Source organism: Homo sapiens, chromosome 14, assembly GCF_000001405.40.
Source record: "Homo sapiens chromosome 14, GRCh38.p14 Primary Assembly".
Taxonomy (NCBI): domain Eukaryota; kingdom Metazoa; phylum Chordata; class Mammalia; order Primates; family Hominidae; genus Homo; species Homo sapiens.
The window spans coordinates 76797797-76813552 of NC_000014.9; the positions used below are offsets into that span (position 1 = coordinate 76797797).

At 45.4% G+C, this 15756-nt stretch overlaps 1 protein-coding gene across 4 annotated transcripts in view, besides 3 other annotated features; it reads right to left on the bottom strand.

Moving 5' to 3' along the window:
* ANGEL1 (angel homolog 1) overlaps nucleotides 1–15086 on the bottom strand; it is a 26874-nt gene extending 11788 nt beyond the window's left edge. For 2 of the 4 annotated variants that reach the window (NM_001370746.1, NM_001370747.1), the window contains exons 1-9: nucleotides 14968–15086; nucleotides 11263–11847; nucleotides 10126–10352; nucleotides 9637–9706; nucleotides 8620–9053; nucleotides 7089–7206; nucleotides 6579–6619; nucleotides 5990–6116; nucleotides 5575–5685 (exon numbers count right to left, since the gene is read on the bottom strand). In NM_001370746.1, coding sequence (NP_001357675.1) covers nucleotides 5575–5685; nucleotides 5990–6116; nucleotides 6579–6619; nucleotides 7089–7206; nucleotides 8620–9053; nucleotides 9637–9706; nucleotides 10126–10352; nucleotides 11263–11847; nucleotides 14968–15031 — 1777 coding nt within the window. In that variant the 5' untranslated portion in view covers nucleotides 15032–15086. The remainder of the gene's footprint in view (nucleotides 1–5574; nucleotides 5686–5989; nucleotides 6117–6578; nucleotides 6620–7088; nucleotides 7207–8619; nucleotides 9054–9636; nucleotides 9707–10125; nucleotides 10353–11262; nucleotides 11848–14967) is intronic. The other 2 variants (NM_001370748.1, NM_015305.4) reach the window with 1 other exon arrangement.
* Nucleotides 14127–14701: an enhancer, noted in NCBI's record as "H3K27ac-H3K4me1 hESC enhancer chr14:77278266-77278840 (GRCh37/hg19 assembly coordinates)". NCBI's record gives its function as "activates a minimal SCP1, AML or CMV promoter by ChIP-STARR-seq in primed H9 embryonic stem cells {active_cell/tissue: H9 hESC(primed)}" and the evidence as "EXISTENCE:reporter gene assay evidence [ECO:0000049][PMID:30033119]".
* Nucleotides 14702–15275: an enhancer, noted in NCBI's record as "H3K27ac-H3K4me1 hESC enhancer chr14:77278841-77279414 (GRCh37/hg19 assembly coordinates)". NCBI's record gives its function as "activates a minimal SCP1, AML or CMV promoter by ChIP-STARR-seq in naive H9 embryonic stem cells {active_cell/tissue: H9 hESC(naive)}" and the evidence as "EXISTENCE:reporter gene assay evidence [ECO:0000049][PMID:30033119]".
* Nucleotides 14724–15153: a silencer, noted in NCBI's record as "silent region_5959". NCBI's record gives its function as "represses an Ori minimal core promoter by ATAC-STARR-seq in GM12878 lymphoblastoid cells {active_cell/tissue: GM12878}" and the evidence as "EXISTENCE:reporter gene assay evidence [ECO:0000049][PMID:35858748]".

A 15756-nucleotide genomic window follows, 5' to 3' on the forward strand; every position in this document is an offset into this window, starting at 1 on the left:
TACTTGTTAAAAGACTTAAAGCCCCAAGATTCAGTGTAATGTGCCAGTGTCTATGAGAAAGAAAACACAGTAATTCCTTTTAATGTCTGCTATGGTCTAAATGTTTGTGTCCCCACAATCAAATTCATATGTTGAAATCCTAACCCCCACGGTGATGAAGTGGCACCTTGGGAGGTGATTAGGTCACAAGTGTGGAGTCCTCATGGATAGGATTAGTGCTCTTATAAAAGATGCCCAAGAGACCCCTTTCCTCTTCCTCTTCTACCACTGAGAAGATGATGCTCATGAACCAGGAACCAGGCCCTCACCAGACACTAAATTTGCCAGTGCCTTTGTTTTTTTTTTTTTTAAAGACAGGGTCTCTGTTGCCCAGGCGGGAGTGCAGTAGGGCAATCATAACTCACTGTAACTTCAAACTTCTGGGCTCAAGTGATCCTCCCACCTCAGCCTCCTGAGTAGCTAAGGCTACAGTCGCATGCCACCACGCCCAGCTAATCTTTTTGAATTTTCTGTAGAGATGGGGTTTTGCTATGTTGCTCAGGCTGGTCTCAAACTCCTGGCCTCAAGTAATCCTTCCACCTCAGCCTTCCAAAGTACTGGGATTACAGGTGTGAACCACTGTACCCAGCCTCTGCCAGTGCCTTGCTCTTCAACTTCCTGGCCTCCAGAACCATGAGAAATAAATTTCTATTGTTTAAAAGCTATCCAGTTTATGGTATCTTGTTACAGCAGCCCAAATGGACTAAGACAATATCTTTAAGAACCATACTGGAAAAAAGAAATCATTTATAATAGAAATGCTGACAATGAGGGAGACTTAAAAATTAAATACCCTTTTTACAAATTATTCCATTACAAAGGGGGTTGGGAGCTGGGCCTGGTGGTTCACACCTGTAATCCCAGCACTTTGGGAGGCCGAGGTGGGTGGATCATTTGAGGCCAGGAGTTCAAGACCAGCCTGGCCAACGTGGTGAAACCCCGTTTCTACTAAAAATACAAAAACTAGCTGGGCATGGTGTCGCATGTCTGTAATCCCAGCTACTGGGGAGGCTGAGGCACGAGAATTGCCTGAACCCGGGGGCAAAGGCTGCAGTAAGCCAAGACTGTGTCACGGCACTCTAGCCTGAGTGATAGAGTGAGACTCTGTCTCAAAAAAAAAAAAAAAAAAACAAAGGGAGTTGGAAATAGTAAGAATCACAATGTATTTTATTATACACATTGGATGGCACAGAATGCTCCAGTACAATGCAATGTCAGCTTATGGGAAAATCAAACCATCACTACCTAGCACTGAATCTTCCTTTGTACTCAGAGGCTCCCCATTCAAGCTAGTGTCACAGTTAAGTTGTCATGGTTTGAAATGCACAGTTGGGTTGGATGATTCTGGTACTGAACTGGAAATATTGTTAGCATATCTAATCAGAGCCTCTAGAAAAATGAACTCACACACTAAGATCTCGTTGTACTCCATTCATGGCCTCCTTTTTTTTTTTTTTTTTTTTTTTTTTTTTTTTTGAGACACAGTCTTGCTCTGTCGCCCAGGCTGGAGTACAGCGGTGTAATCTCGGCTCACTGCAAGCTCTGCCTCCCGCGTTCACACCATTCTCCTGCCTCAGCCTCCCGAGTAGCTGGGACTACAGGCGCCCGCCACCACACCTGGCTAATCTTTTGTATTTTTAGTAGAGACAGGGTTTCACCATGTTAGCCAAGATGGTCTCGATCTCCTGACCTCATGATCCGCCCGCCTCAGCCTCCCAAAGTGCTGGGATTACAGGCGTGAGCCACCGCGCCCGGCCCATTCATGGCCCTTTTAAAATAAAGATAGTTGGCTGGGCATGGTGGCTCACTCCTGTAATTCTAGCACTTTGAGAGGTCGAGCCAGGAGGATGGCTTGAGCTCAAGAGTTCGGGACCAGCCTGGGCAAGATGGTGAAACCCAGTCTCTACAAAATACAAAAATTAGCTGGGCATGGTATCATGTGCCTATAGTCCCAGCTACTCGGAAGGTTGAGGTGGGAGGATCACACGAGCCTAGGAGATCAAGGCTACACAGTGAGCCATGACTGTACCACTGCACTCCAGCCTGGGTGAAACAGTGAGACTCTGTCATGAAAAAAAAAAAAAAAAAAATTAGATTTGAGATTCATCAAGAGCCTGTTCAGCCCTGGGTAGGAGCATTGAACAAATAGAAGGGTACATTCAAAGTATGTGGAGAATAAGTATGTTTACCCAAATCTAATCTCAATTTTGAAAATACTGTTATTTTGCACCGCTGGTGAACTGGCTACTTTGCCCCTATAGAATGAGTCTTTTCTACCTACAAAGTGATTGTCAGTATATATTTTAAAGGTCTTGGTTTAATTTTGTTACTATTTATTTTATGTTTCATTCAAGTACATCACTGATTTAAATAACCTATTCTTACTATGAAATTATCTAAGTGAGATCCTGTTACTGTTTTTATAATCCTAAATCACTGAGCTACGGCTCCCCTGGCTGAACCTGACTGACACAGAATTTACTTAACCCAATTCCTGCTACCTGCTGGTTCACTCAATACAGGGTGGCCATCATTGTTATCACTATTGCTACTGCCATAGCTGTAATAATACTTTGACTTTGCAATTAAAATAAACTGGGCCACTGACATATTTGTTGCTCTGTGCAAAATGCCAATTCAAGTTAAATTCTTACAAGAAGAGAATAAATTCAGTGTTCATCAGCAGTCCTTTCACTATAGTTTTCCCAGCCATTGCCTTCAGTTACTCCTCTAGCAGTTTCTTGAAGAAATGTTGTTAGTTGAGTATAATATTCTTGAACTATATATCCTTTCCTAGAAACCTTAATCCACTGTCTTCTAGAGTTGGATGTCAATATTAAGAAGTCCGAAGTCTTCTGAGTGCACTGGCTCACACCTGTAATCCCAGCACTTTGGGAGGATGAGGTGGGCAGATCTCCTGAGGTCAGGAGTTTGAGACCAGCCCGGCCAACATGGTGAAACCCTGTCTCTACTAAAAATACAAAAAAATTAGCCGTGCATGCTGGCGCATGCCCAGAGCCCCAGCTATTGGGGAGGCTGAGGCAGGAGAATTACTCAAACCCAGGAGGCAGATGTTGCAGTGAGGCACGATCACACCACTACACTCCAGTCTGGATGACAAAGCAAGACTTTGTCTCAAAAAAAAAAAAAAGTCTGAGGTCAACCTCATCACCGTTAGGCTTCAAAGTACCTCAATCTTTTAACTGCCCAAAAGATTCTTTCATCTTTGACTTCTAGGAACCTCACTGGAATGTCTTAGTATTAATTCTCCTACATCTTTTTTTTTTTTTTTTGAGACACAGTCTCACTCTGTCACCCAAGCTGGAGTGCAATGGTACGAACATGGCTCACTGCAGCCTTGACCTTCTGGGCTCAAGCAATCCTCTTGCCTCAGCCTCCTGTGTAGCTAGGACCACAGGCATGCATCACCATGCCTGGCTAATTTTTTGATTTTTTTGTAGAGACGGTGTCTCACTTTGTTGCCCAGGCTGGTCTCAAACTCCTGGGCTCAAGCAATCCTTCTGCCTTGGTCTCCCAAGATGCTGGGACTATAGGTGTGAGCCAGGGTGCCTGGCTCCTGTATCATTTTTTACTGAGACACATGTCTTCTCGATCTGAAAATTCACATCTTTTCGTTTTGGGAAAATCTTTCTTGGATAATTATCTTTAAATATTTCTTCTGTGTTATTATATTATAGGCTTTCTTCTTTGGGAACTCCAATTATGTATAAGTTAAATCTCCTTTATCTTTCACTACTGTCATTTTCTCTCTAATCCTTTCTAACCTTTAACTTCTCACTGTTTTTTTTATTTGTTTTGTTTGGATTTCCTTACCTTGTTTTCCACAGTTATCTATTCCTACTTGTGCTGCATACAATTTTGTCTTTATTTTTTGTAATGTTTTTATTTTTTATTCCACTTCTTTTCTGAGCTCTGCAGCTTACATTTCATCTTCTGATGTCTTGCCACATGCCTGAACTTATTTTATAAAGGCAGCCATTTTATTTTTGTGCTCTTTCTTTCATAAAGACAATTTCTTGGCCCAGCGCGGTGGCTCACGCCTGTAATCCTAGCACTTTGGGAGGCCAAGGCAGGCAGACTGCCTGAGGTCAGGAGTTCGAGACCAGCCTGGACAACATAGTGAAACCCCTGTCTCTACTAAAATACAAAAAAAGAAAAAAAAAAAATTAGCCAGGCGTGGCAGCATGTGCCTGCAGTCCCAGCTACTCGGGAGGCTGAGGCAAGAGAATTGCTTGAACCCAGGAGGCAGAGGTTGTAGTGAGCCGAGATGGTGCCACTGCACTCCAGCCTGGTGACAGAGTGAGACTCTATCTCAAAAAAAAATAAAATAAAATAAAAAATAAAGACAATTTCTTTATTCATGAGAAAGTAATCGTAATTTCTATGAGCTCCATGGCAATTATTTTTATCTTTGAAGTTAAACATTCTTTATCTGCCTTTTATTTTTCTGTTCCTTTTTTCTTGCAGTATTTTAGCACAGATTCCATGCTTTTCCTTTTTTGACAACCAGCTTTGAATTAGTTAAGGTTTTTCTGCACCAGCTATTTGTACAAAGTTTATATAAGGGAAGGACTGGGTATTTCAAGTAACGGGAATTTTCTTTTTGACACAGGGTTATGTCAGCATCCTTTTAAATCTTTCTCTCTCCCAAGCCAAAAGAGATAGGCAGCTCTACAAGTATCTCATCTACCCTCTCTACCACTTGAACAGATTGCTTAATGGAAATATGGCTTGATCCTTGATCAGTCCCTCCTCCACTGCCTCTTAGGATCAAAACGGGTCCAGAGACTCTCCTATCATGACCTGTGCTTTCTACTCTTGTTGAAAAAAAAAAAAGGGATTTGGGTTTTATGCTCCACATGGAAAAAAGTACTCAGCTAGTTCTGAGATCCACATATCCCCACAGATAAGTCTCTCTATACTTCCTCTAGCACCCCTGCACGATCTCCAGTGCTTCTTGCAGGCATTCCTTCTGTGTTGTGGTTCTTGGTGTCAGATATCTTCAAATTTCCCAGTTTTGTCTACAATGGAGTTTACATTTCTTTTTTCCATTCTCCTTGTTGCTTTGAAGTGGTTTCAGAGACAAGAAGGGGAGAATGTCAAGTATACTCTGCTATATTCAATCTGAAATTTCTCAGTAGGAACAACTTTTATTAAAATCAGAACCACTGTCACCTTATGATTTTCAAAGCCCCATCATGTGTAACTTCTCCCCTATATATGCTGTACACATGCTAGTCATTAGCAACTTAAGCTTAAAAAGGTTAAATGGCTTACCCAAGCTCTCAAAGCTAGTTACAACCCAGGTGTCTTGATTCCTGGTCCGGCACTCTTATCACACTGCACATCCATGCAATGGCCACTGAACTCAACTAACCTTCCTTCTAAATATACGTATTACCAGAAGCTAATCTCTAAGAATTATACTTAGAAAAGAGCAGGAAACCACATAACTGACCAATATCAGGAATGAGGAAGAAAGAAGACCAAGAAACTGGGATTAGTTCCCATTACCTGGCTTAGTATCTGTCACTCCTTCCATAAGGACCAGTCCTACTGGTCGCTGACAAGCGATGCTGCAGAAGCGGAAACGTAGCAGGAAGTCTCGGCCATACTTGCGTCTCTCTGTAAACCAGGAAAAGACATATAGTGAAAGAAAGACGATGAAGCCACATGCTGAGACCTCCTTAGTACCAAGCAACTTCCAGCATAGGTACACAGAGGAAGCATTCAGAAGACAAGGAGATTTTCCAAAGGCTATGATTTAAAGTTGTCCATTTCATTGGACAGCCATTGGGAGGATAGTGAGAAAACAGAGGAATCTGCTAAGAGAAATGAGGGATTACACTTTTTCTTGTCGTTGAGACACCAGCTTTCTCCCAAAATGGGCATGAAGACACAGCCAACCAAGAATGTGACATGTGCTCACCTGATCTCTTGGGGTGACAGGAGGTGACATACTGACAGCAATCAGTGATGCCCAGGGAGCTGGGCCACAGTGGGGCCTGCAGCTTCCTCTGGTAAAGCTGATGGGAGAAGTCTTCCTGTCCAGATACCTGGGTGGAAAAAGAAGGGTGGGAATAAGGAAACCAAGATAGAAAAAGGAAGTAACAGCCCATGTTTTGGGACATGTGGACAAATACAAACACATACAATCACACACTACGTACATGGTATAAACAAGCATATAAGTCTCAGGGGCAGGTTAAAAATAAGGACCAAATTAAAACCATTACTTTTTCACTGGCAACACTGAAATGTCCATGAAACAGGAGGAGGGGTAAGAGACTGAATCAAGGGGAATCGAATAGTATGAACATGTGGTTCCCTAAATTTTACCTCTGAAAAATCAATACAATTCTCCTCCACAGGGAATATCAACTCTCAGGGGCTTTAAGTTGCAATGGTTAAAGGTTTATCCTCATCTTTGGATCTTCTGGATCAAGGTCTAATATCCTGAACCTATTACTGGGTAACCACAGGGTCAAACCAAATGGGAAAGCACCAAAGCACTTTACCGTATCTACGTCACCATCCTCGGTCAAAGCCAATGAGCAGCCTGGGAACGGACAAAACGTAGTAGGGGAAACATTCGGCAACATCAGTCATCTGCACATCTCCAACGTGTGTAGCAAAAGTCCCTTTATGCCATTTAACAACAACAAATATTTGAAAGCCAAAAGACACTAGCTAGGTGCTGGGGATAGAGCAGCAATAGACAGAATCCCCTTGCCCTGTAAGGGCATAAATTTTCAATATGTCATCAGAAGTAAAACAGATCTGCAATTCAATGGCCACTTAATAGCTGTGTGACTTTTGGCAAGTTAGTTAACTCTCTTGGGTTCAATATCTCCTACTATAAAATGGGATAGGCCAGGCGCAGTGGCTCACGCCTGTAATCCTAGCACTTTGGGAGGCTGAGGTAGGTGGATCACCTGAGTTCAGGAGTTCGAGACCAGCCTGGCCAACATGGCGAAACCCCGTCTCTACTAAACATACAAAAATCAGCCGAGCATGGTGGCACACACCTGTAATCCCAGCTACTTGGGAGGCTGAGGCAGGAGAATCACATGAACCCAGGAGGCAGAGGTTGCAGTGAGCCGAGATCGTGCCATTGCACTCCAGCCTGGGCAACAGAGCGAGACTCTGTCTCAAAAAATAAATAAATAAATAAATAAATAAATAAATAAATAAATAAAATGGGATAATAATACCATGTACAATTAAGAATCTTAATAATCACTACCGGTTACTGACTTTGAGCCAGATACTGGAAAACACTTTACACGCATTATTTTATTTAATCCACCCAAAAAAACACCTCTGAGGCAGGTCCCATTATATCCCCCATCGTATAGATGAGGCAAATGGGGTTCAAAAAAGTTAAGTAATTTGCTCAAGGTGGCAGAGCACGGATCTGAACTCAGGACTGTCTGGCTTCAAAGCAAGTGCTCTCATTCACTATGCCTAACAGTGCCTGTCATGTGGCAGGCAGTCAGTAAATTCTTTTCCTCGTTCCCTGAGTTCCTTGATTACAGCTCCTTTAGGGCAAGATCATGCCTTTCTCTGCACACATCTGGCTCATTTACATAAAATCCCATGTGCGCAACAGTAATACAATCGTTTTGTGTCCTTCCACCATTGTGCCTTGCCAAAAGTTAGTCAATAAATTGAAACAGTAGGGGCAAAATAGAGGAACAAGGAGATTAAGTGACATAAAGAAATCAGCACAAGCTGATAAAACTACGAGGTGTTTGTCATCAACACTCAACAGTTAGAAGGAATGAGATCCATATGCAAATTGCTGAGTGAAAAAAAACAAGCTACAAATGAAACATACAGTAGTGTATCATGTTTATAAAACACACATGGTAGATTACATATTGGCTGTTATAAGCAATGACAGCACAGTATTTGAGGGTAAGAGCTCTGCAGCCAGACCACCTGGTTACAAATCCTGGCTCCACCACTAACTACCCGCATAACCTAGGGCAAATTACTTCACTTTTCTGAGCTTTAGTTTCCTCATTTATAAAATGGAAGCCATGATGGAAACTGTGAAAACTAATTAGTTAATGAGTATAAAGTGCTTAAAATAGCACATGGCACACACTTAAGTGCTTAACAAATGTAAACACTGATTACAATATCATAGGAACATAGATATCACTGTAAATGCAAAGAAAACAAGCTAAAAGACTACCACCAAACTTAGAACGGTCATTATGTTACTCTAAGAGAATAGAATAGGGAATGTGGGTAATAAAACAGGCCTGTGTCTTACTGTATAATGTTTAAGTTCCTTCAAGTATGTACTTACGTATTACTTGTGAATTAAAAATATTAATGATAAAAACTGAAAAAAATTCCAATATGCCGAAGTACTCAAGAATTCTTAACTTCCAGGCTTGGGTACAAGCTATTCAACATAACAAGAAAAAGGAGGAGCAGGCCAGAGCAGGTGTACTGAGGTCCCTGCCACAGAAGAAGCACTGATGCTAACGCCTGAATCTCTCTTAGACCATGTTCCCACCCACACCGTGGCCTCTCCCATTTCACCTTCCAGGCTGGCATCCCATGGTACTGGAGCTCTCCATCCCTGATGAAGTTGTAGAGAGGTGAATCAGGGACAGAATTTAGGTCCCCGCACAAGATGATGGGGCAGTGGCTGCCATCTGACAGTCTGGCCACCTTGTCCACTTCCGCCAGGAGAATGGCCATCTGGGCCAGCTTGACATCGCCCCGGCGTGGGTTGTAAAGGATATGGGTATTTGCCACACACAGCGGGGCCACCGAGACTTGTCCCAGGCCTTCTGGGACGAGTGGTTGCAGTAGCAACACTAAGCCCACATTATCCCGATTAAGTAGCTCCAAGCCAGGCCGGAAGTACTCCACAGGGCTAGCACAGAGCAGGCGGAATCTGGTAGGCTTGTAGCAGACAGCACAGCCATCGGTTTTACACCCAGTCCTCCTCTTGTAGAAACAGGTAAAGCCTGCAAGGAAAATCCCACCAAAGAGATGGGTCAGAGTCCTTAAAGCCTGAATCCCTTCCAACCAGCACCAGCAGTCCCAGTGTATGCCCCTGAGGCATTGTTCCTGCTACTCAGTAAAGGAGCCTTTGCCACTTCCTTGGTTCAGCAGGTTCCCCCTTACATCGTAACCAGCTGACTGAGGGGCTGGAAGGGCAAGGAGGGAAGGGTATGAAGCAATGTAACATGATAGAAAAGAGCACAGAATCTAGAGTCAGACAAGCTGGATTCCTAGCTCCACATCTACTAGCTTTGTAGCTTTGTGATTCTGAGGAAGTCACATGAGTTTTCAGAACTTCAGTTTCCTCATCTGTAAAATGGGAATAACAGTCTCACCACATTGGTTACTTCAAGGATCAAATAGCAATGTATGTCAGAATTGCTATAAAACTGCAGAATTCTACTTTCTCAGGCACACATGGAAGGAGCTAGCTCACAGGTGAAACTGAGGGTTTACTAAGACAAAAGGAAAGGATGGGGTCTTCAGGAGAGAGTAGACAAGTCTGTGGAAAGAAAAGCTGGCAAGCATCCCAGGGAGCTGCATTACCCATCATTCGCAGAGAGGGTTCCAGCTGCTCCCAGTAATGATCTTCCTGGACTTCCTGGAGACACAGGATCTGGGAAATTGACAAGAAACCCAATCACTCCAGAGTGCTGGAATGTGACCCCCACCCTCTAGGAGCAGGTCCTGAGGCCAGGTGGGAAGCTGCTGGGTCACACTGAAACTTCCCAGAGTCACCAACAGCAAGAACAGGCCCAGACTTAAGCTGAAGAGATTAGAGATGTGCACTGGATTTTCCTGCTCCTTGAATCCCTCAAGCCTCCCTTCCTGCATAAAGGTGCTGGGAAGTGCACATCTAGGGAGATTCTTCTCAGCATCTGCCAACAACTCACTGACACCAGGCAGGCAAGCTCCAGCCCTAGATAGGACTCCAATCATTTGAACAACTATGGGTTGAACTCATCTTCTAAGAGCACTGGGCAACAGCCCAGGTCCAGCAACAATGCAAGATGGCAATTCCCCCTCTTCACTCACATCAGGGTCCCAGTGCTGGAATTCCTGCATGAGGTTCACGAAGCGATAGTTCCAATTGAGGATGTCTGGATGGCAATGTAGATAGAGCTCTGAGCTCTGCTGCATCAGGTCCTGAGCCAGGATGTTATAAGACATCAGAGTGAACTGGAACTGAGGGCCATCTCCTGCCTTCAGGCCCTGAGCATCTGGCTGGGTGGAGAAATCCTCCCATTCTCGCCACAAAATTTCTGCAAAGGATTGGGAGAAGCACTCAATGGCAAGTATGAGTAATGCAGAGGTGCTGCCATCTCCACTCCTGACTCAGTAATATTATGCCTGAAGTTCCTTTTTCCATCTTCCCTGTCACCCATCCCTCTCTGTGGGGAATTGATTTCTATGGACATTCTTCAGATGACATGGTTAGCTCCACAAGGCCAGAGACAATCTTGGCCTGCTCACCACTACATCCCCAGCACCTAGCATCTAATAGATGCTCCATATATGGAAGCTGACACACTCTCATTTTTGATAAATCCATGAATCTCCGGAGAATCACTCAGATGAGTGTGCTTAACAGTCACCTGAGGTTAAAGACATTTTTAGAGTAATTGCAGCCCTGGGTGTTTTCTGACCCCTAAACCTGGAAGAGTCTGTGGGACTAGAAACTATGGTGTGTCCCCATCTCCCCTATGGCATGTGGCAGCATAGTGGATTTCAAATCTATTGACGCCATTCTTCAAATTTTAACGGACTCTCAATATACAACACAAATAAAACTGAGGTAATTGTGACTGAGACAGAGACTAGAGGCCCTGAGACCTCTCTATCCCTACCTCCAGAAAGCCCTAGGGTTACCACCAGAGAAATGACATTGTGGAGAATCAGAACTAGAGTATGCTTTCAGTTCTTCCCCTACCTGGCTTTATGACTTTAGTCATGTTCTACTACCTCTCTGCACTCTGATTATTTCACCTTTAAAACCATGGGGCTGGATGAGATGATCTGTAAGGACCCTCTAGATCTGACATGCCAAGATTCTTAGAAAAATAGAATGCAGTGGCAGAGCTCCCTACCATAGAATCTTCTCTTTAGCAATGGCTCTGCCCACACCTGAGACACCCTGTTCCCTTGGCTCACTCAACCAGTTGTCAGACTCACCATGATATGGTATTTCCACTGCGGGAGGCTGCAACTGCCCCAGGCCCTCAAAGGGCCAGATGGAAGCCTCTTCCTGGGGCACAGGCTCAGGTGCTATGCTCCAGGCCAACACCGCTGGGTCCTCTTCCCACTGCTCTGTGGCCAGGGCACCCACTGGGAGGGCAGCACAGTCTGCATACTGGGGCTCCGACTGCATGGGGATAGCTGCCCACATGGAGCCCTCCACCCCCTCCACCTCCAGCAGTGGCTCCTCTCCTAGCATCTCAGGGAAAGGCTCATCCAGGTTCTCTGCAGCCCGAAGGTCACTCAGCTGCCTGCTGGACCACCTGTCCTCTGAAGCAGCATTCTCTTCTCCAGGATTATCCATCAGAAGTGCCAGGCTGCTCTGGGCTAGTCCTTTATCTATAAGGGGCCCCTCACTTGCAGTTGAGAGCACCTGGCTCAACCCTTCTTCTCGCCACTGCTGCAGCAGGCCCTCACATTCCTCCTGCTCAGGGCCCCGAGGGGCCATGGCAAAGTCGCCCTCTACCTGGGGGGATGAGCTGTTCGCCAGAAGGACATTTTTTCGACATGTGAAGAAAGCATCTAGGAGGAAAGCCAAAATACCAGGTTATAAGACTGTCATCCAACCCACACTATTCTCCCAGCTAAAACATAAGCCCAATAAAAGCAAGACCCATATCCACCTTGCTCATCATTGTACCATCACTGAGCCTGCCTACCTTAATGCCTGAACATCATCATCATCATCAGGGCAAAGTATTCACTATGTGCCAGGCACTGTTCTTTACAAGTGTTGACTAATTTATATGGCAGGGATCTGATAAATATTCAGTGCATGAAAGAACAGCTGTCTCACATAATCTAGAACACAGATGGGCACATATACCCACACTCCTTTTACATGACTTAGTTAAGACTACTATTAACAAACTCTTTGGTTCTAAGAATCACATTACATTGCAACCAGCAACTGACTGTTAATCAGAACTGTGGGTTATGATCTAGCACCAAAATTAATAAAACTGACCTTGAACAATGCCCCTAGTCAGATGAAGTTACTCTTGACTGTAAAATGGGGACAAGAGGCCAGGCGTGGTGGCTCCCAGCACTTTGGGAGGCAGAGACAGAGGCAGCAGGATCACTTGAGGCCAGGAGTTAGAGACCAGCCTGGGCAACATAACGAAACTTCATCTCTACAAAAAATTAAAAATTAGCCAAGTACGGTGGCACATGCCCATGGTCCTAGCTACTTGGGAGGCTGAAATGAGAGGATTGCTTGAGCCCAGGTTGACGCTGCAGTGAGCTATGACTGCCCTTCTGCACTCCCGCCTGGGAGACAAAGTGAGACCTCATCTCAAAAAAAAAAAGAAAAGAAAAGAAAAAAATAAATTTTAAATTTAAAAAAATAGAGACAAGTTTGAACTAGATAATCTCTGAGCTTTTCTAGCTGTATAAATTCCCTAATCTATTAATGTATTCCAAAAGAAAAAGTCCTAAAGTAGACAGTCTCAAAAATCTATACAATTTACATCTTAGCAAGGGCCCTTAAGCCTTTTCTCAAAGCTACTTATTGTAATAAAATCTTCACAAACTTCATTATCTGCTTTCCCATTCCACAACACATCAGAGGCTATAAATTACAAGGTGCCAACAATCGACAGTAAGAGACAGCTGACATCTCTCTGATACTGCAGCCACCAATGACAGCCAACAGGCAAGAAAGAAAGTGGGAAAAACTCTAAAATTAGAGCCCCCAAACTCTGAGCACAGTATTTTGGTGAGAGCAAACAACTCCTACACTCACACACTCAACCATTTATTTACAGCACAGGACGAGTAACATGCACGATGCTGGCCCTCAATCACTAGACTCATTTTATTGGCAATTTTTTTTTAAAGGGAAGAAACCTTAAAAGTGGCTCAAATATTGAAAGACGGTTCAAATATCTTGTTTGGGGTCTATGTATATTTATGTCCTTCTAAACAATGGTTTTAACCACGGTGATTTTGCCCTCGGAAGACATTTAGCAACGTTCAGAGACACTGTTGTTGTCACAACTGCAGCATTGCTACTGGCATCTAGTGGTTAGAGGACAGAGACGCTGCTGAACTTCCAACAATTCACAGGACAGACCCACACCAAATGATCCGGTCCAAAACGTCAACAGTGCTGAGATTGAGAAACCCTGCTCTAAACCTATGTATGGGCTGGGTCGTTGAGCTTTAGCCTCAAGGACTTCCTGATTATCTGCCCCTTGAAATATCCTCTGTGTATACCAGATGGCAGAGGTTCTTTGGTTCATATGCACGAAGTTACTAGCTTTCAATTTTGGTAGATGTCTTTTGGTGGTGGTGGTGGTGGATTTTCAGCAGCAGAATGCTTTTGTTTTTTAAAAATCTTATCTGGAAACCAAATATGCCAAGTAAATATAAGTGGGACTACTGTAATGTGTAGGTGGGGGGGCGGGGGGGGCCCTCCTCTGAGATCCCTAGAACTCTACTGGTCTGGAAACCTCTGGACTAGTATACTGTATCACTAAGGCATTAGAAGAGCTCCAGGAAAAACAGCAACATAGTTAAAAGAATATGTTTAGTTCTCTGGAAACAATTACTTCTGTGGAGTTTCCCACATTCCTCAGAAGTATGGACACACAAGACATTCCTGAATTCACTGAGTGCCTACTGTATACCAAGCAATGTGTTAACACCAGAGATACAGCGAACAAAATGGACGTGGCCCTGCGCTCCTGAAGTTTGCATTCTAATGGCAGATACACAGTAAAATTTAAAATATTTCTATATGAAATATATATTATCAATGACACACACATTGCGTACCAATTGTGTAAAGTTCCACAAAGGAAAACCACAGAATATACAATTGGAGCCCTCATTCCTAAGTACTTCTTGGTCCTGTCCCATAAATTAAAGGCAAAAAGTCTGCGAGTTCCATGGGATCTCAGAAACTGATGGTCGCATAAAACCCTCCGTAATTTCAAAGCCCAGAAATAGAGAATGCAGACAAATTATGAAACAATAACGAAATAAACACCCCCTCTTTGAGGTATCGACTGGGCATTGCCCCCACCCCAGCACATCTCCCTCTAAACCGCCGGGAGTGGGGGCAGGAATGCTCCAAAGCTGAGATCTAAATGTGTCTCTGATTGAACGTCCGTTTTTCAACCAAAGACACCGGTGAGCGAGAGCTGCCAGGTGGCAGTGAAAGGCGAGTGTGAAGTTAACCTGGGGAAGATCGGTGCGTCCAGTACTTCGGCCATAAACCTCCCAGAGCCGACCCGCCTCGCCCGCTGAGAATTTGGGCACTCGCCTAGGTCCGAGCTACTACCCCTTCCCGACCCGCCGGGGTGCTGACTTGGCCGACCCCACAATTTCTCTGCACCCCCAGGGCCAGGAAAGGGCCCTGCCCGTCCACAGCTCCTCTCCACCTTAACCGCGGCCGGACGCCATCTGACAACAGGCGGGAGGAGGGGCCGCCCACGAGGGACGTCGGCCAGGTCCAGGCCTCGTGGGGTCAGGAGGGGCCCGCGGGGCAGGGGCTCAGGACCGCCTCCCTACACCTCGGCACTGCCCGGGGCACGGTAGTCGTGAGGCCCGGCCAACCGCACGCCGCCCCAGGCCCGCGGAGCCCCGCAGAGGCGAGCCCTGGCCGGGCTCCTGTCTGTCGGTACGCCTGGCCGGTACCTGAGAGGGCGCGGAAGAGGCGCGTGGCCGGCAGCAGCAGGTAACACAAGCACGACGCGATCATGGCCGGCCGCCCGCGCCCGCCTCCGCTCCTCACTGCAGCCAGCAGGTCCTCCCTCAGCTCGGCCCCGCCCCCGGCCCGGTCCGGCCCACGTGGTGCCGCCGCCGCGCTTCAACAACAACTTTATTGGGAGCGCAGGTCTACGGGTGCGCACGCAGGAAGTGGGAGGAGCCGGTTCCCATGGCAACTAGCCACCCCTAGCACCCGGCTGCCACCCAGGCGTCCCGAATTAAAATTGAGCGCCTCACTGGAGGCCCCATAGTGTTATTCAAAGGCCACAGTTTATTCCCACTTCTGCAGCTGACTAGGTGTCCACCTTGTTACCACACTATAGCCTCTCCGCCCCTCAGTTTCCTCACCTGTAAAATGAAGAGCTGGACTTTCTCTAAGGCTCCACTGAACCTTGACTTCTAGCCCTTCTCGACCCAGAAAGGAAGCGAGTTATTCCCCCATTTCCCCCGTTTTCCTGCCTCTACTTCCCTGTCTCAGATTCTAGGTCACAAATTGAGTCCTACCTTGCTTCAGGAAGTAAGACTTTGTCTCCTTCCCTACTTTCTAAACGGGCCTTCTTTTCCCTAATCTAGAAAAACAGGGTTTCCCATTGGTAAGGAAGTCAAGAAAGAAAGGAGAGAGGACAAAGAGAGGAGAGAGAGAAGGGAGAGAGGAGAGAGACAGAAGAGAGAAACTTCCACAAGGCCAGGGACCAGTTCTGGCTGGTTGTTTGCTCA